At 45.9% G+C, this 19,259-nt stretch overlaps 1 protein-coding gene across 4 annotated transcripts in view, besides 4 other annotated features; it reads left to right on the top strand.

Moving 5' to 3' along the window:
- The window catches only part of JCAD (junctional cadherin 5 associated), a 102,692-nt gene extending 83,966 nt beyond the window's left edge, over nt 1–18,726 (top strand). For all 4 annotated transcript variants that reach the window (NM_001350021.2, NM_001350022.2, NM_020848.4 and 1 more), the window contains 2 exons: nt 1,663–5,426; nt 13,612–18,726. In NM_001350021.2, the coding sequence (NP_001336950.1) occupies nt 1,796–5,426; nt 13,612–13,646 (3,666 nt within the window). In that variant the 5' untranslated portion in view covers nt 1,663–1,795 and the 3' untranslated portion in view covers nt 13,647–18,726. The remainder of the gene's footprint in view (nt 1–1,662; nt 5,427–13,611) is intronic.
- Nucleotides 1,704–2,432: an enhancer, noted in NCBI's record as "H3K27ac-H3K4me1 hESC enhancer chr10:30318026-30318754 (GRCh37/hg19 assembly coordinates)". NCBI's record gives its function as "activates a minimal SCP1, AML or CMV promoter by ChIP-STARR-seq in naive H9 embryonic stem cells {active_cell/tissue: H9 hESC(naive)}" and the evidence as "EXISTENCE:reporter gene assay evidence [ECO:0000049][PMID:30033119]".
- Nucleotides 2,433–3,162: an enhancer, noted in NCBI's record as "H3K27ac-H3K4me1 hESC enhancer chr10:30317296-30318025 (GRCh37/hg19 assembly coordinates)". NCBI's record gives its function as "activates a minimal SCP1, AML or CMV promoter by ChIP-STARR-seq in naive H9 embryonic stem cells {active_cell/tissue: H9 hESC(naive)}" and the evidence as "EXISTENCE:reporter gene assay evidence [ECO:0000049][PMID:30033119]".
- Nucleotides 3,881–3,950: an enhancer, noted in NCBI's record as "active region_3197". NCBI's record gives its function as "activates an Ori minimal core promoter by ATAC-STARR-seq in GM12878 lymphoblastoid cells {active_cell/tissue: GM12878}" and the evidence as "EXISTENCE:reporter gene assay evidence [ECO:0000049][PMID:35858748]".
- Nucleotides 4,131–4,190: an enhancer, noted in NCBI's record as "active region_3196". NCBI's record gives its function as "activates an Ori minimal core promoter by ATAC-STARR-seq in GM12878 lymphoblastoid cells {active_cell/tissue: GM12878}" and the evidence as "EXISTENCE:reporter gene assay evidence [ECO:0000049][PMID:35858748]".

Here is a 19,259-nt window from a genome sequence, read left to right as displayed (position 1 = left end):
CGGAGGTGGCAATGAGCCGAGATTGTGCCACTGCACTCCAGCCTGGGCGAAAGCGAGACTCAGTCTCAAAAAAAAAAAAAAAAAAAAAAATACAGATGGGCCAGGCATGGTGCTTCATGTCTGTAATCCCAACACATGAGGAGGCGGAGGTGGGAGGATTTCTTGAGGCCAGGAGATCAAGGCCAGACTGGACAACACAGCAAAACCCCATCTCTACAAAAACATCTTAAAAATTAGCAAGACATGATGGAGTGCCTGTAGTCAGTCCCAGCTACTTGGGAGGCTGAAGTGGAAGGATTGCTTGAGCCCAGGAGTTTGAGGCTGCAGTGAGCCATGATTACACCACTGCACCTAGCCTGGGTGATAGAGTGAGACCCTGTCTCAAAAATAAATATATAAATAAAAATATAAATACAAATGCCTGGGCCCTAACCCAGACCTACCAAGTCTGAACTTTCAGTGGGAGAGACTTGGTAATGTGTATATTTTACAAGCCCACTGGGTGATGCTTACCATCAGAGAGATGAGGGGACTCTGCTAGAGACATCTTTCTCAATCTTGGCTGCACACTGGGAATCTCCGGGGACACTTGGAGAGTCTCGGATGCCTGATTGCCTCGCCCTCCATTTACCACCCACACGTCTTAAGATTGTAATGTAATGTGTCTAGGATACTGCCTGGCATCTGGATTTTTGAAGTCTTCCTGGATTCTAATGTGCAGTCAGGGTGAACAACCACCAGCAATGATGATTCTCAAAGTAAGGCCCTGGGACCAGCAGCATCAGCATCATCTGGGAACTTGCAGATTATAGAGCCCCTCTCCAGACCCGCCAGATGAGAAGCTGGGGATGGGACCCAGCAATCTCTCTCTTAGCAATTCCAGGACTCAGTGATTCTGATTCTCACTAAAGTTTCAGAACCCTTGCTTAAAAACAGTGTTTTTAAAAGCAGGTTCCCAGATTCCCTCCCAGAGATTGCACAGGAGGTCTGGACTGAGCCGGCAATATGCTGCAAGTGGTCCAAGACCACACCTTGAGAAATACTACTGAACAGTTAACCCTTGTTCCCTTGGGCATTTTTTTTTCCTTATGAGGCAGGGTCTCACCGCTGCCCGGGCCGGAGTGCAGTGGCGCAATCACAGCTCACTGCAGCCTCGAACTCCTGGGCTCAAGCAATTCTTCTACCTCATCCTCTGGAGTTGCTGAGACAGGTGGGCACTACCATGCCTGGCTGATTTTTAAATTTTGTGTAGAGACAGAGTCTTACTATGTTGCACAGGCTGGTCTCAAACTCCTGGCCTCAAGAGATTCTCCCAGCTTGGCCTCCCAACGTGTTGGGATTACAGGCATGAGCCACGGTGCCCGGCCTTCCACCAGACATTTTAATGTTTATAAGGACCTTGACATCGCTGGAGTACACCCAACATCCCTGTATTCTTGTGGGCTGCCCACTGCTGCCCCTTCTTGGCCCTTGATGCCAAAACACGTGGCTGTCTTCCAACCATAATTAATGGGATATGTTTTCTTTCAAGCTGGCAAGTACTGTGGCTGGGAACCAAGTTTTCAAAGTTGCTGACCTGAGTTTGACTTCGAATGCCAGTCACAGAAGCAGATGAAGACATGTTTCTTCTGTGCCTAACGTCTGTGACTCTTTGTTTTGTAGGTTTTGTAATCAACCCCCCTCAGCATGGTCCTCTCATCCCCCGACTGGTAACGACCAAGCCTACCGGAGAAGAGGACGGCAAGAAGCCAGGAGCCAGAAGCCGAGGGAGCACGAAAACCTGGAGGCCAGAGGAATGGCCCAAGCCCACAGCCTGCCTGTCCACGTGAGGGAGGGTCCATGGGAAGTTGGAGGAAGGTCAGAGCATGTGATGAAGAAGCCAGTTTGGGAAGAAGAATTGCGAATGTCAGGTCCTGCCAAGTGGCAGAACGTCAGCCTGGAAAGCTGGAACCAGCCAAGGAAATTAGGGAGGCAGATGTCTGATGGAGATGGGGAGAGACTGTTTCAAGACCTGTACCCATTCATTCAAGGAGAACATGTGTTGAATTCTCAAAACAAAGGGAAGTCTCGCTCACTGCCTAGAGTTCTTTCCCCCGAGAGCCTGAGTTGCACGGAAATTCCCATTCCATTAAATGAAAGACATTCACCTAAAATGCCACCGTATCCTCCCACTTGCGCACCAAATTTGGACTCCACGAGGAATTCTGAGAAGAGTGGCTGCTCAGCCCCATTTCCCCGGCCTAAGTTTGGGAGGCCCCTCAAGCCCCCATCTTACAGCTCGCACCAGCAGTCTAGGGGAGGAGCGGACAGCAGTGACTCTCAGGACAGCCAGCAGATGGACGCCTATGTCCCCAGGCATGAGCTCTGCCTGTCAGACCCTGGATTGGAACCTCCAGTGTACGTGCCTCCGCCCTCATACAGATCGCCCCCGCAGAACATCCCAAACCCCTACTTGGAAGACACGGTGCCCATAAATGTGTGTGGCGGTCACAGTCAACAGCAGTCTCCGACCGAGAAGGCTGGGGCCAGCGGTCAGCCTCCTTCAGGCCCCCCTGGAACTGGGAATGAGTATGGTGTGAGCCCCCGCTTGCCTCAGGGGCTCCCCGCACATCCCCGACCTGTCACTGCCTATGACGGCTTCGTTCAGTACATTCCCTTTGATGATCCACGGTTACGACATTTTAAACTAGCTCAGCCCCAGGGTTTCTGTGAAGACATAAAGCTTGACGATAAATCATATAACTCCAGTCCTGTCACTGCTCAAGAGCCGGCTCATGGAGGAATGCAGCCTGATGGTGCCATTTGGAATCCACAGAGCTTAATACCCCCGTCGGGGGATGAGAGAGGCCTGGTCTTGGCCGATTCCAGCCCCCGGTGGCTGTGGGGCCAGCCCCCCGGGGATGGGGAAAACAGTGGCCTCCCCAACCAGAGAGACCGCTGTGTGGCAAGGGGACAGTGGCCTGATGTGAGAGGCAGCCAGCACGGGCACACTGGAAGACAAGTTTCCTCCCCTTACTCACAGGGCGAGAGCACCTGCGAAACTCAAACCAAGCTCAAAAAGTTCCAAACTGGGACTCGGACCAAGAAAAGTTCAAAGAAAAAAATGAACGAGACTATATTTTGCTTGGTTTCTATCCCAGTGAAATCAGAATCACATCTGCCAGATAGAGATATGGACAACAATGACTTAAAGCCCAGTGCTGATCAAAAGAATGGGTCTGATAAGAGCCCGGCTCTGCAAGAACAGAGTCTGCTGAGCATGTCTTCCACCGACCTGGAGCTGCAGGCCCTCACAGGAAGCATGGGTGGGAGAACGGAGTTCCAAAAACAAGATCTAGGGGAACCAGAAGAAGACAGACAAACAAATGACCTCAGTTTCATCCACCTTACAAAGCACAGAGAACTCAAGCATTCTGGCTCTTGGCCAGGGCACCGGTACAGAGATCAGCAAACACAAACCAGTTTCTCCGAGGAGCCCCAAAGTTCGCAGCTGCTCCCTGGTGCAAAGCTGGGAGGGCCGAGTCGTGCAGCATTGAGTCCAAAATGTTCAGACCCTGCTGCCTCCGAAGCTCAGACGCACACAGCATTCCCTACCGGTGATCACAAACAGAGGCCAAGTGCCCGTAACCTGAAAGGTCACAGGTCCCTCAGCCCATCCAGCAACAGTGCGTTCTCAAGGACTTCCTTGTCCGTGGACCAGGCACCGACGCCAAAAGCAGGCCGAAGTCAGCCCTGCGTGGATGTCCACGGGCTTGGAGCCCACCCTGGGCCTAAGCGGGAGGTGGTGAAGGGGGAGCCCACGGGCCCTTGCAACAGTAAACAACTCTTTGGGCAGTTTCTCCTGAAACCGGTCAGCCGTCGTCCCTGGGATTTGATCAGTCAGTTAGAAAGTTTTAACAAGGAGCTCCAGGAAGAGGAAGAAAGCAGCAGTAGCAGCAGCAGCAGCAGCAGCAGCAGTGAGGAGAGTGAGGCGGAGCCGCAGCAGGAGAACCGTGCTCACTGCAGACAGGAGGATGTGGGCTTCCGCGGAAACAGCCCGGAAATGAGGGTTGAGCCACAGCCGAGGATGTGGGTGCCGGAGAGCCCTGTGTGTAGGTCGGGAAGAGGTGAGAGTAAGTCTGAGAGCTGGAGTGAGGAGCTGCAGCCTGGCCACCCACGTGCCTGGCCTCCATCCCCGGGCCGCTTTCGCGTGGAAGAAGGTGGCGGTGCACCTTTCTGCTCAGCAGATGGAAGCACGAGTGCAGAGAAGAGACACCTGGAGGTTAGCAACGGAATGGACGAGCTGGCAGGTAGCCCATTTCCTGTGACGAGAATGTCTTCAAGATCAAGTGACGCAAAACCACTGCCCGCGTCCTATCCAGCTGAACCTAGGGAGCCCCAGGAAAGTCCGAAAATCACCAGTGCTTTCAGCTCTGTGAAACCAAGTGAAGCGGTCCCTCGGAAGTTTGACAGTGGTGGAGAGAGGGGGGCAGGGCTCCCACTGTCCCTGTCTAACAAGAACCGAGGGCTCTCAGCTCCAGACTTACGGTCTGTGGGGCTCACCCCTGGGCAAGAACAGGGTGCCAGTGAGCTAGAGGGGTCTTTGGGTGAAGCAAGCACAATAGAAATCCCCCCAGGTGAGTCCTTGCAAGCCAGGGCTGCAAGGATCCTGGGCATTGAGGTGGCGGTGGAGTCCCTCCTGCCGGGCATCCGGAGAGCGGGACAGAACCAGCCTGCTGAGCCCGATGCAAGTGCCTGCACCCCAGAGTCCCCCCAGGAAGAGTTGCTATCTCGCCCAGCACCGGCAGATGTCCCCAGGGTGTCCACTGATGCCTTTTATGGCAGGAGGAAGTGCGGCTGGACCAAGAGCCCTCTCTTTGTAGGGGACAGGGACAGTGCCAGGCGGGCTCCTCAGGCTTTTGAGCACTCAGATGTGGACGGGGTTGTCACCAGCACAGACCCTGTCCCTGAGCCTGAGCCCAGCCCCTTGGAGTCCAAGTTCTTCGAACAAAAGGATGTGGAAACAAAACCACCCTTCAGGTCCACTTTATTCCATTTTGTAGAAAGAACCCCAAGTGTGGCAGGCTCTGAAAAGAGACTTAGAAGCCCTTCCAAAGTGATTGAAAGTTTACAAGAGAAACTGGCCTCCCCGCCTAGGAGAGCAGACCCTGACCGCCTGATGAGAATGAAAGAGGTGAGCTCAGTGTCACGGATGAGAGTCCTGAGCTTCAGGAATGCCGACTCCCAGGAGGACGCCGAGGAATTGAAGGCCACCACAAGGGGCCAGGCCGGGCTCCCGGGAGGCCTTGTGTCTCCTGGCAGTGGGGACCGTGCCCAGAGATTGGGCCACTCACTCTCTGTGTCCAAGGACAGCATCTCCAGGGAAGAGAAGGAGCATCCGGCAGCACAAAAGGAGAAGAGCATGGATCAAGACTTCTGGTGCCCAGGTGAGGAATCAGGCAGACAGGCAGGTGCTCAGTATACATTTGGAGTTTTTAGTCAGTACAAAATACCAGGTTGGTGGATAATGTAAATCTGCATATTCAGAAAAGATCAAGTTGACCCTGGGAATTGTTTTATCAAAAGATTCCTCATTTTCGAAGAATTATCCAGAAGCCATCTTTAAAATTCAAGATCTTGCAGTATATTTTATTTTTTTGAGATAGTATCTCACTCTGTCGCCTGGCTGGAGTGCAGTTGTGCAATCTCTGCTCACTGCAACCTCCGCTGCTTCCTGGGCTCAAGTGATCCTCCCACCTCAGCCTCCCGAGTAGCTGGGGCCACAGGCATGCACCACCATTTCCAGCTAATTTTTTAATTTTTTTATAGAGACGAGATCCCACTATGTTACTCAGGCTGGTCTCGAACTCCTGAGCTCAGGTGATCAGTAGAAGAGTTGAGATAAATGTCAAAAGATCCACATCATAAGCCATGGACTGGAAGGGACCTTCTGTCATTTAGTCTAAGCCTTTTCTCCCTCCCCTCCCCTCCCCTCCCCTCCCCTCCCCTCCCCTTCCCATTTTTTTCTTTTTGAGACAGAGTCTCACTCTGTTCCCCAGGCTGGAGTACAGTGGCACGATCTCGGCTCACTGCAACCTCCGCCTCCTGGGTGCAAGCGATTCTCCTACCTCAGACTCCTGAGTAGCTGGGACTACAGGCGTGTGTCACCAGGCCCAGTTTATTTTTGTATTTTTAGTAGAGATGGGGTTTCGCCATATTGGCCAAGCTGGTCTTGAACTCCTGACCTCAGGTGATCCACCCACCTTGGCCTCCCAAAGTGCCAGGATTACAGGCGTGAACCACTGAGCCCGGCCCAGTCCAAGCCTTTTACAGTAAGGGGAAAAGAAAAACTTGGTCCTTACGAGTTGAGTTAGAGGAATGCCCTCTCCTGAGCTGGGCCCTTCCCTCTTCCTACCCAGTCTCCAGCAGGTGGTTCTGCTCCTCCCACCCCTTTCTATTTTCTGTTTTGAAACCCAAGAATTTTGAAGCAGATAGAAAAGAGCTGTTGTTTCAGTTGGAAGTAGTCAGAGATTTCTATTGAACAAAAAAATGTAGGGCCGGGTGCTGTGGCTCAAGCCTGTAATCCCAACACTTTGGGAGGCCGAGGCGGGTGGATCACGAGGTCAGGAGATCGAGACCATCCTGGCTAACCCGGTGAAACTCCGTCTCTACTGAAAATACAAAAAATTAGCTGGGCGTGGCGGCGGGCGCCTGTAGTCTCAGCTACTCAAGAGGCTGAGGCAGGAGAATGGCGTGAACCTGGGAGGCGGAGCTTGTGGTGAGCCGAGATTGTGCCTCTGCACTCCAGCCTGGGCGACAGAGCAAGACTCCGTCTCAAAAAAAAAAAAAAAAAAAAAAAAATGTACATGGGCACTCTCAAGTTTCCCCCAAATACAGTGGGATTCTTAGGGGTGTTAGCCAGTGTTGCTTCTCTGCTCCTTATGCAAAACACATGATTGAAATAATCCTTCGTCGGGGCCCCGTTGGATCCTCTAGTTGGACAAGCTGGGCCTTTGCAGTGGTAGAGAATACTGAGAATGTGAAGGCTTTGCCATTATGGTAGGAAAAGGGTTACCTGCCCATTTTTTGAGCTTTCTGGATTTATTGTAGCCTTCAGCATAATTCCTCTGCAGTCCCCCTTCCTCCTCAAAAAATATGCCCACTAGACTTTAAGGTTAGTTAAAACTTGTCATAGACTTCTAAAGCAAGTTTTCTTCATCTATAAAATCAGGATGATTTTCTCAGTCCTACATCTTCCTGAAAATTGTAAGGAGTTTAAAATAAGACAAATAAATCCTGTTATAATACAGTACCAGTTGGTAAATATTTCTGTGTCTCAGTTCATGGAAACCTATTTCAGGAAGGTTTTTTGTTTTGTTTTGTTTGAGACAGAGTCTCACTCTGTGGCCCAGGCTGGAGTGCAGTGGCATGATCATAGCTCCCTGTAGCCTTGAACTCCTAGGCTCAAGCGATTGTCCTGCCTCAGCCTCCCAAGTAGCTGGGACTACAGGCATGCATCATCACACTCAGCTATTTTTTTAGTTATTTGTAGAGATGAGGTCTTGCCTACACTGCTCAGGTTGGTCTTGAATTCTTGGCCTCAAGCAATCCTCCTGCCTCAATTATGGTGCCCAGTCTAGGGAGTATTTGATAACACAAAATTTCCAGTTCAGAAAAGCACTCCTTCAATTTTTAACTTGACTATTTAGTGTGAGAAGGTCCAGTAGGTATCTAAAAACACCCAGGTAATGCAAATTTTAATTTTAGCCAGTTATTAACAACACCTCCCTCATGACGTTTTTGGGTTTTTTTTTTAACCACTGCTACTAACAAGCAGAAAATTTAATTATTTTTTTCTCCTCTCCATCTGATGCATTTGCTAATATACAATAAAATGGCCAAAAATCTGCAGGCAGAGAGCCACTCATGTTGACAGCTTCCTCGGGCATTTTCAAGTACAGTCATGCGTCGCTTAATGGGGCTGCACTCTGAGAAATGCATCATTAGCAGTTTTGTCATTGTGTGAACACCATAGAGAGTGCACTTCTACAAACCTAGATGGTAGAATCTACTACACACCTAGTCTTCATGGTAGAGCCTATTGGTCCCAGGCTGCAAACCTGTACAGCCTGTTACTGTATGGAATACTGCAGGCAATTGTAACGCAATGGAAAGCATTTGTGTATCTAAACATATCTAAAGAAAAGGTACAGGCCGTGCGTGGTGGCTCATGCCTGTAGTCCCAGCACTTTGGGAGGCTGAGGTGGGTGGATCACTTGAGGTCAGGAGTTCAAGACTGGTGTGGCCAACGTGGTGAAAACCTGTCTCTACTAAAAATACAAAAATTAGCTGGGTGTAATGGCAGGCACCTGTAATCCCAATTACTTGGGAGGCTGAGGCAGGAGAATTGCTTAAACCCGGGAGCCAGAGGTTACAGTGAGCTGAGATCGCGCCATTGCACTCCAGCCTCAGCAACAAGAGTGAAACTCCATCTCCAAAAAAACAAAAAGAAAAGGCACAGTAAAAATATGGCATAAAATATTAAAAAAAAAGAAAGGACCACTTTTGTAGGGCACTTACCATGAATGGAGCTTGCAGGACTGGAAGTTGCTCTGGGCAAGTCAGTGAGTGAGTGGTGACCGAATGTGAAGGCCTAGAAAATTCCTCTACACTACTGTAGACTTTATAAACCCTGTACACTTAGGCTACACCACATTTGTTTAAAAATTGATTGCACTATGACATGACGTCACTAGATGACAGTAATGTTTCAGCTTCATTATTATCTTATGGGACCACTGTCATCTATGTGGCCCGTCATTGACCAAGATGTTGTTCTGTGGCGCATGACCATAATCGGAGGGGAGAGCACCATTAGGGACGATATCTTACATTTGTTTTGCTCAGGTGGCCCCCTGTGGGCCTTTCATGTGATGGTCACCAGGCCTCAATATTCAAAACCACTCGTCTTGAGAGCAACTGAGGTCATATGATGGAGGTAGTAATACTTTTGACGTATGTCCACTTTTCCGCTCACTGTTGCTTCACAAGTTAGAGTAAAGCCTTGTTGTTAAGTCACTGAGAAGCGCTTGGACTTTGCTTTCCTTTTGATGTATTTAATCATTTTAAACATAAGAATCCTCATCTCTTCCCCACTGCACTGCTGCCCCCATGACCCCAGCATGCTAGAACTGCTTCATTGCTCCTAAATTTGTAGCCCATTTAAATTCAAGCATCTGTTCTGGCACTGTAACACAAGGCCATGCCATGTCTATCCGCACCACCCCACCCTACACACACACCCTTGTGCCGTGCCTGTCATATCATCAAGTGTCTTGAGATTAAAGTTGGTCGTTTCAGCTCACATGTCTTTAGTGGTCTTTCATGCCTCTGGTTAAGAAATCAACAGCCCAAAACGAGTTCGGGTCACAGACTCCCATCTTTGCTGGATGACTGATGCTCCAATTCGGAAGTGTCATCCCAGGCATTGATCGTACACAGAACCTCCTGGTTCCATCATCCTCTGTTGCAAACTCTGTTAATATGAGTCCAGGGGAAGAATGAGAAGAGATATCTGTGTGAGGCCCAAAATGAGGGAAATCGGGGAAGGCTTCATGATACCAGATCATGCCATGAGAAGGCTAGATGTTAGCACATCTCTGAGGGCGTTAATGTGTGAAATACCCACCAGGGCAGTCCTCAGTGAGTTGTCCTCAGCTGAAATGGAGCCCACAGGAAACAGGATTCTAAATTCTCCGGGTAACCACCCTACCCTCTAGACCTGTGCTGTCCAATATTGTAGCCGCTCATCACATACAGCTACTGGGCACTTGAAATATGGCTCATGCAAATTGAGATGTGCTGTAAGTGTAAGATACACACCAGATTCCAAAGACTTAGTACAAAAAAAGAATCTAAAATGTCTCAATAATTTTTATATTGGTTACATATTGAAATGATATTTTGAATATATTTGGTGAAATACAGTATTAAAATTAATTTCACCTGTTTATTTTTATGTGTTTCAACATAGCTACTAGAACATTTAAAATAATGATGGTTGGGCATGGCGGCTCATGATTGTAATCCCAGTACTTTCGGAGGCAGAGGTGGGAGGATCATCTGAGCCCAAAACCAGCCTGGGCAACATAGCGAGACCCCCATCTCTACAAAAACTGAAAAACAAAATTAGGCTTGGTAGTGCATGTCTGTAGTCCCAACTACTTGGGAGGCTGAGGGAGGAGGATCACTTCAGTCCAGGAGTTTGAGGCTGCAGTGAGCTGTGATTGTGCCACTGCACTCTAGCTTGGGTGACAGAGTGAGACCCTGTCTCTAAAAAATAATGTTTTGTGGCCCACATTATAATTTTACTGGACCTGGATAGTCCATGAGCTGAAGAAAGAGCCAGGGGACTGTGGGCAGCAGGTGTGTCCTGTGGAGGTGTCTCTAGTGTGCCTGGCACAAAAGACCACTAAAAAGGTGTGAGCTGAAATGACCATCTGTAATCTAAAGACACTTGATGGTAGGTACAACACAGCACAGATAGTAAGGGTCTCGAAGGGTGTGTGTGTTGGGTGGGGTGGTACAGACAGACATGGCATGGCCTGTTCCATGCCTAGTGTTATGTAATGTGAGGCTTAGCCTGGAAGAAACTAAGCATCTTAATAACAGGTGCTCCCACTAGCCGAAGTGTGACTTCCACACGTTCTCATAATTTCATGACCGCACACCTTATTCTCAATGGAGAAAAAGACACCTTTGCTCACAGGAGGACCCTCTCAGAATGTGAACACTCTGAGGCTGATTGAGCACAGAAATGAAGCACCCAGCTATTAATGTCTTATATTGTTTCATGGATGTTGTTAAGCATCAACAGTCAGAAAGAATTTATGTGAACTCCCCTTCCTTTTAGCCAGATTATTCCTGCGTGCAGCTGATGACGTTTGAGCAAACTTCTTTTCCTAAATGCAGAGACTGTCCCATCTGGGTAGTAATGTAGGGCTTTAAGTACTCTGAATGCTGTCTCAGTCATCACAGTCGTGATACCTGTTGTATCATACATCTGTCTCAGCCAGGTTGAAAAGGAGTGAGGAGGATGTGTAAGACATTTTGCTGCTGGAAAAATTGGAATGTCTATGGCCTTTTTAATGCACAGTTGTCCAGATGGATTTCAGAAAAGATTGTTTTTCACTTTTCTTTTTCTTTTTTTTTTTTTTTTTTTTTGAGACCGAGTCTCACTCTGTTGCCCAAGCTGGAGTGCAGTGGTGCGATCTCAGCTCACTGCCACCTCCACCTTCCAGGTTCAAATGATTCTCGTGCCTCAGCCTCCCGAGTAGCTAGAACTACAGGCATGTACCACCACACCTGGCTAATTTTTGTATTTTTAGTAGAGATGGGGTTTCGCCATGTCGGCCAGGCTGGTCTCCAACTCGACCTCAGGTTATTCACCTGTCTCGGCCTCCTAAAGTGTTGGGATGACAGGCATGAGCCACCTCGCCCGGCCAAAAGATTGTTTTTCTAACTTTTCAGATACTTCCAGATTTCCTTTTTTTTTTTTTTTAAGTGAATCACCTTTTTTGACCATGCCGAGACTTGCTGTTTTTTTTCCTTTTTCTTTTTTTCCCAGCTTTATTGAAGCATGATTGACAAAAATTGCATATATTTAAGGTATAGAACATGGTGTTTTGATTCATCTATAGATTGTGAAATGAGTACCCCAGTCAAGGCAGTTAACATAGTCATCTTCTCTCATAGTTACCAGTTTTTTTGAGTGTGTGCTGAGAACATTTGAGATGTACTCTATCAGCAAATTCCAAGTGTACATGATGGCATTAGTAACTAAAGTCACCATCCTATGCACTCAGTCTCCAGTACTTACTCATCTTATAGCTTAGGGTTTGTACCCTTTGGCCAGTATTTCCCCTTTTCCTTCACCCCAGCCCCTGGCAACCACCCTTCTACTCTCTGTTACTGTGATTTCAACTTTTTTTTTTTTTTTAAATGATTCCACATATAGGTGAGATCATGCAGTATTTGTGTTTCTGTGTCTGGCTTTTTTGACTACCATAATGTCCTGAAGTTTAATCCATGTTGTTGTAAAATGGCAGGATTTGCTTATCTTTTAGGGCCGAATAATATCCCATTGTGTGTGTATATACAATTTCTTTTTTTCTTTTTTTTTTTTTTTTTTTTGAGACAGAGTTTCGCTCTTGTTGCCCAGGCTGGAGTGCAATGGCGCCATCTCGGCTCACAGCAACCTCCGCCTCCTGGATTCAAGCGATTCTCTTGCCTCAGCCTCCCGAGTAGCTGGGATTACAGGCACGTACCACCATGCCTGGTTAATTTTTTGTGTTTTTAGTATAGATGGGGTTTTTGCATGTTGGTCAGGCTGGTCTTGAACTCCCAACCTCAGGTGATCCACCTGCCTCGGCCTCCCAAAGTGCTGGGATTACAGCCGTGAGCCACTGTGCCCGGCTATATAATTTCTTTATCCATACATCCAGTCATGAAAACCTTGATGATTAGGTAGTTTCCTATCTTGGCCATTGTAAATAATGCTGCAGTGAACTTGGCTATTGTAAATAATGCTGCAGTGCAGATATCTCTTCCATACTGATGTCCTTTCCTTTGGATACATACCCAGTCATGGGATTGCTGGATCATATGGTAGTTCTATTTTTAATTTTTTTGAGGAACTTCCATAATGTTTCCATAATGGCTGTACTCCTTCCAGATTGCTTAGACATTTTCTCTTTAAAAAATAAGAAGCCTTTGAGCTGCTATGGCAGGAAAATCTTACCACAGGAGGCGCACGTGTGAGCCTTAGGTTTGTCTGGATTCCAGACAGACATCTGTGAATTGGAGGTTGTGGGACTTGGCAGCACCCAGCAGCAGCAGTAGTGGCAGTTTAGGATGATTGCTCTTTTGTATGGTGTCCCGTTTTAGAAATCCAGGTCATCTGGGCACAGATTGGGATTTTTCCATTGACGGCAGTAGAATGGATCAGTGCGTGAGGGGCCAGACTCGTACATACCTGTGTTAGAAGGCTCTAGAAGCCTTGCGCTGACAGGTGAGCATCCAGCCCTGGGGCTGCCTAGTGGTCAGTGGTGATGAGAGACAGAAAGCCTCTCTCTGCCAGCCAAGCAGTCAGGATTTGAGGATCCTCACGCCTTCAAGGGACAGCGTTTGATCACAAAGATGCGTATTCTAAAGCAAGCTTTCTTTTGAGCTGTAATTTACCAAAAAAAAAAAAAGAAGAAGAAGAAGAAGAAGAAGAAAGAAAGATAAGACATCTACCTTAATATCAGCCAAACACATCACTGCCAGTTTGGAAACATTGCGTTTAAAGTGAAGTATATTCCACGGTGAACAGGAAGGAGCCGCCGAAGTATTCAGCAGTTCATATTTTCCCATCTGTGTTTGGGTAATGACTATGCACAATTCTTTGAAAACAGCCTTTTTGACAAATAGTTTTTTACTCCTTAGTGAAAACATGATTGTTAAAATGTCTAAAAATTAACCTTTATACACTTGTAGATTTTGTTCCCTAGACAAATTCGTGGTCTAAGGATTAAACAGAAAATAGAGCAGTTGAATATAACACTAATTTTCTTTTCTTTTCTTATTTTACAGATTCCTATGACCCTAGCAGAGTGGAGAGGGTGTGATGAAATGCCGGTGGAGCTTGCATTCCGTTGCGAATTGAGTATTCTCAAGTAGCTGGTAGATTTAGTCTATCAGCCCCACTTCCCCATGTAGAAGCTGGAAGCTGCTGAGTTTTTAGCATCCTGATAACATTCTTTACCACTGCCACTAGGAAACTTGCCATCCTCTCAGAATTGCTTTGTGGCGATAAAGCAATCGTCCGTTGAAACCATCTGTTTTTATAGCATGAAGATTTAATGCCTATAATTAGGAAGGAGTTTTCACAGAAACCCTCCCTCATGACAGATTTGACTAAGCTGGTAAATAGTTTGGTGTTGCTCTCATTCTGGGTGAAGATTTCAATGTGGAAGATCTAGCAAATGCTTTGGAAAGGCCTGTGAATGGTGTGCTCCCCTCTGTGTCTCCATGGCCTGCAGTCCATGCTCTTGTGAAGGAGTTTGGGACACTGGCTGTTGCCCGGTGTTTCAGCACTTTCAGTTTAGGGGAAATGTGAATCAATAGGTATGATCCATTTCTAATCAATTTGGCCTTCTGCTGCTGGAAGTAACTTTACTTATAAGTAACTTGCCATCAGAGAATAAAAGCAATATCTTTTAAGTTCCTGAAAAATTAAAACTTGTACTGTAATATACTAAGAGTATTATTTATCTGGCAGTGAAATATTTTGATCATTTGCAAACACGCCATTGTCTGCTTTGCACTCAGTATTATCTATTTTTATTTTCTGTATGGGTATTTAGAAATTCTTTATATGAAAAATAATTGCTGGTTTAAAATAGACCATTTTAACAAAGTGACTATATTTCTTTTTACGAAAATGCTATTTTTCTATGATGTAAACAATTGTTAGGCGGCAGATTTTTAAGGAAGTATTATTTTATTTAAGAGTCTGTATCCCTTTGTGTGAGAGGAACCCAAAGAGGGTTCACTTTTGCTTTAAAGCTCTGTCCCTTACCCACTGACAACTCTGCTACTTTTATTTTATCTTAGAAAATGTCAATATAGACATATCACAGGGTTAATAAAAGAAACTTTTCACAAAGATTTTTGTACAAGTGTAGCTATCAGGTTATATTTGAAAATAACCCTCTGAAAACCAGCCAACATTGTCATGACAATTTTTGCTGCCGTATCAACTAGAATTACCAAAAAACATAGTTTTATCTTTGTATGTGTGTGGGGATCTACCCTGAGACCATGCTTTTCTTCCCACCCTGCCACCCCACCCCTTTAAAGAAATACGTATTTTTATCTAGAATGATCTTGAATTAGTCTCTGCATATTTTTAGAAAGTGCTTGGGGACATTATATATATGCCATTACAAAAGCATTATGAGGCCTATGTATTCTACTGTGTTTAATACTGCATTAACCTGCACAAAGTTTATGCATTTTTTCATGCATTTTTTTCCTTCTTTCTAAGTAAGGTATTCCTGACAACTAACATTCCCTAAATCATTTCCCCTCCCTCCCTCCCTCCCTCCCTTCCTTTCTTCCTTCCTTCTGTCCTCCCTCCCTTGCTACCTCTTGCCCTCCTTCCTTCACCCTGTCCTCCTTTTCCCTTTTATTTTTTCCCCTTCTCTTTCATTTTATTTTCTTTTAGAGAAACCACCTTATCTATTTTTAGACATTTCGAATTCCTAAAATGTGAACCGTTGGGTGATCTGTCCTTTGGCCCTAAAACGGCTGGCCGGGCTGTCCCGGCCTGTTCTCATCTGTACCGTATGATTTTATTTCATAATAACTTTATGTATTTGGACTGTAACAAACAAAACAGAACCTAAGTCGCCCCGAAAAATCTTTCCAAGCCTTTTCAAAACACTTATCTGCAGTCCAGAATTCAGCTCTTATGAAAAGTGAGAGTGCACTCCAGTTTTCACAGCAGCAATAAGTGCGGGAAACAAAAAGATCCTCTTCCCAGGAAAAGTTGAGTGGGGAAGAGTTCAGACACTGTTGTAGCTGGTGAATCATTGAAGTCACCTGGTAGTACCAAATAAGGGCTGAGGCGCCTGGAGGTCTTTGTGGGGTCTTCCCTCTTTAAATGCAAACGTAAGAAGGTATATGTGTATATACATTTATATACGTGCACATGTATACTCGTACATGTATGCACACATACCCATACATGTATATGAACTCCGTTCTGATTTCCTCTGAAATTTTGTTGATACCATCTAAATACCTCTTTGAATCAAAATAACTTAATTTTAGCTCATTCCTCAAGAGAAAGAGAAGGATCCCCAAGGAAGAAAAACTGTTGTACCTTCTGTGATTCTCAAACCAAAATGTGATGCGCTTCTGTTTTGTTATCTTAAATTGTTGTATCATATCTTTCTGAAACCATTCTGAATTAAGTTGAAATTTTCAACATTTATACTTTAACTGTTCTAAATTTAAGCCTACATGTAAATCTTTTTTGGGGGGAAGGTAACTTGAAAAGTTTAACTTGAAAATTTGACCTTTAAACTTTCATATTCTAAGGTAAATAATAGCCTATAACCAACAACAGCTTTCCCAGAGGTCTTGAATTTAACACTAATTGTTTAGTTATTGTTTCTATTTCTCATACATACATAACTTCGTTTTTTGTGGCTGGAAGAAAAAGTTTCTATATTTTGTATTTGTCTTTGTTCTTCTCATGCACACAATTTACTGTTGGTGTTTAATAATTTGGAGCTCATAAAATTAAAAGTTGTAATTTTGACCATTTGGGCTAAAAATTATATGAGGGATTACATATGCAATGGATTAGTATTTCTTGATTTGCAAAAGAAGGGAAAATGATGGTAATTTAGCTCAAATTGCCTTTCTTTGAAGAAAATTTCTGAATGACTGAAAACCAAATATCTATATTATCACTTTCAACCTCATGTTTCTGCAAAGTACAGAAAAACTCCTCACTGACAGTGCACCCAGCCCCTGACTGGGTTTTCAGGATTATGTCCATGTGCATAACTGCTTGGATTTCTTCTTTTAAAGTCCCTAAAACATGAATCTGTTCTTTGAGATCCTGGTTTCCTTAGCAGAGTTGTAGGTTGCGGGTTTCATTCACGTGGAAATTCTAAGTAGAACTTTTGCTGCCCCATTTTACTGTTGGTGAAGGGCCGTTGTTAATGGAAGTTTACGTTTTAAAACTCAGATGACTCAGAAACCAGACTGTGATCATTTTTTGCAGCAGCAAAATGACTTATTCTGACAGCATCTCGGTTTGGGGCTTCTGAAGAAAAAGGATGAAGCTGATCTGTTGAAACAACTACTTTCCCAACTCGGAGGCAAAAGGGGCTGATAGAAGATAACATTCACCTACCATTTCATCTTGTGACCCCCAGAGATCACGTTTGCGTGTTCTGGCTGAGTTTTTTATTATTGTTTGTTTTAAATGATTAAATAATACACAATTAAATGTCAGGATAGCATCTCTTGCAAAGTGACCAGTGCAGCAGAATTGTCTTTCTATCCATATTTGAGCTTAGAGAAACATTTCCCATGTCCTAAGTTCTTAGAAGCAATTACTTTAGCGTTGGGGAGCATTGTTCTACCAGACCCATTTATGCAGGGGAGATGAAGCTTAAAAGACGGGATGTGGGGTGGGAGTGTGTTTCTTAAGCCGAAGCTGTTGCAGGCTGGGGGATTTTTGCATTTTCTTTTTGTTTTGTTTTTGACTGCAGATTCTGTACATCTGTCTGTGGGAGGAGAGTTGCTACTCAGGACAGGATTTAAGAGACACATTCCAGTGACCTTTAAGAATCTGCATGGCGGGAGGTCCTTCTCCAGGAGTGTGGGTTGGTCCACTCTGGGACCCACCACACTAAGAAGGGGGAGATGATAAAATAACATTAAAGGAAGAATGGCCTCCAGCCTGCAGGTTTTGTTGGAAAGAAATAAAAAGGGAGTCATTAAGACCATAAATTCAGATTGAGGCCTCTTGAAAAGGTTGATGTGGGCTAGCAACCTGCCTGTCGAAACAGTCCTTGGTTCATCAGCAGTGTGGGAAGGCAGCCAAGGCTCCTGCAGATTCCTGGCATCGACCTTGGAAAGCCTCTGCGATACTTGTGTGTACGAATACAGCAGAGGACAGGGAGGTCCTTGTTCTGTGGTCTCTGTTTAGTGACTGAAACTTAAACCCAAAGGCAAGCCCAGATTGTCTGGCCGTTCATCCCCATGCTTTGATAGGGGTTAGGAGGAACCCTTTCCGTATGAAAGACAGGCCCTACTAGGGCTTACAACCAAGCCAAAGGACCATCTCTTCTTTCTTCCACCTCCCTTCACCCCTGCCCCGCAGCAGAGCCGAGATGTGAGACATTCATTGTCACGGAGCAAGGAGACAAAGGCAAGTTCAAGTTGAGAAGCATATGGCAGCAAACAGAAATGAAAACCATATGTCCCAGCAAGGGGAAAAGCAGTCATTTCCAGATTATAAAAATCAATGAAGTACTCTCCACCTAGGTCAGCTGAAATTCGAGCCCTCACAGTCAGGCCTGTCAGAGAAGTTAAGCAGAAACATCTCGGGGGGACTTCTAAAATTTAGTGAAGACAAGGCCTTGCAACTCCAAAGAAACTTTTTTTCCCCCCCTTGAAACAGGGTCTTGCTCTGTTGCCCAGCCTGGAGTGCAGTGGTGCAGTCACGGCTCACTGCAGCCTCAAGCTCCTGGGCTCAAGCACTATCCCCACCTCAACCTCCTTAGTAGCTGGGACTACAGGTGCACACCACCATGCCCAGCTAACCACAGAAACTTTCATCTCTTCATTTTTTCTTTGGGCACCATTAATACCTAAGACAGGTAGAAAGGGTCCCAGAAAGACACCATTGGTAATGGCCGATTGCCGGCTGCAGTCATCGCCCCCAGATCAGGCTGGTACAGGATGCCTTAAGGTGATGAGAGGTGAGGGTGCATGAAGAATAATGAGCACAGGGAAGAGAGAAGCAGGACAAAGTAGCAGATAAAATGCCGGCAAAGCACAGATGAATGTCTTCAAGAAGCTCTTGTATTTCTCTGCACAGTGTAAATATCCTTGCTATTTCAGGATGGCGGCTGGCCTGCTCAGTAACATACATGTTCCAAATAAAGATTTTGCATGAAAGTACCTATGTCCGTTGTCTTTTACTGTGGGTGCAAGAGCTGCCCTAGAGGCTGGTTCCTGAAGGGCGGGCAGCAGGCTGCACGGGGAGCAGCTCAGATGGTGTGGGTAATGCAGGGACAGGTAGCCCACAGGGTTCCAGCACCTTTGGTCTCCACTGGGATTTCCCGGGAGTTAAAGCTCCTGTTTACATCTCCCCCAAGGCTTACTGACATTGTGGAAAGAGGCCTAGAGTTAATTTGGGAACTGGGTGTGAATATTGACTCTATCAATAACCATGTGACTTTGTACACATCACATCCCTGGCTTCTGTGTCCTCCCCAGCCTCTCCTACCAAAGGAACATAAGAATCCAATATATAGAGAACCTCCAGCACATTGTGGGTGTTGACTGCATGGAGAATGAAGCTAGAGCAGTGCCTTCTGGGGAAAATACTTGCCTGGAAGTGTTGTAGGTTTTACCATCCAGGCCTCTGTCTTGTAGGGCTATTCTGGAAGCAGAGGGAGACTCAGTGCAACATCATACTCTCCAATCGT

This window comes from Homo sapiens, chromosome 10 (assembly GCF_000001405.40).
Source record: "Homo sapiens chromosome 10, GRCh38.p14 Primary Assembly".
Taxonomy (NCBI): Eukaryota; Metazoa; Chordata; class Mammalia; order Primates; family Hominidae; genus Homo; species Homo sapiens.
The sequence above is the reverse complement of the archived record's forward strand: the minus strand, read 5'-3'. Positions and strand labels throughout refer to the sequence as shown.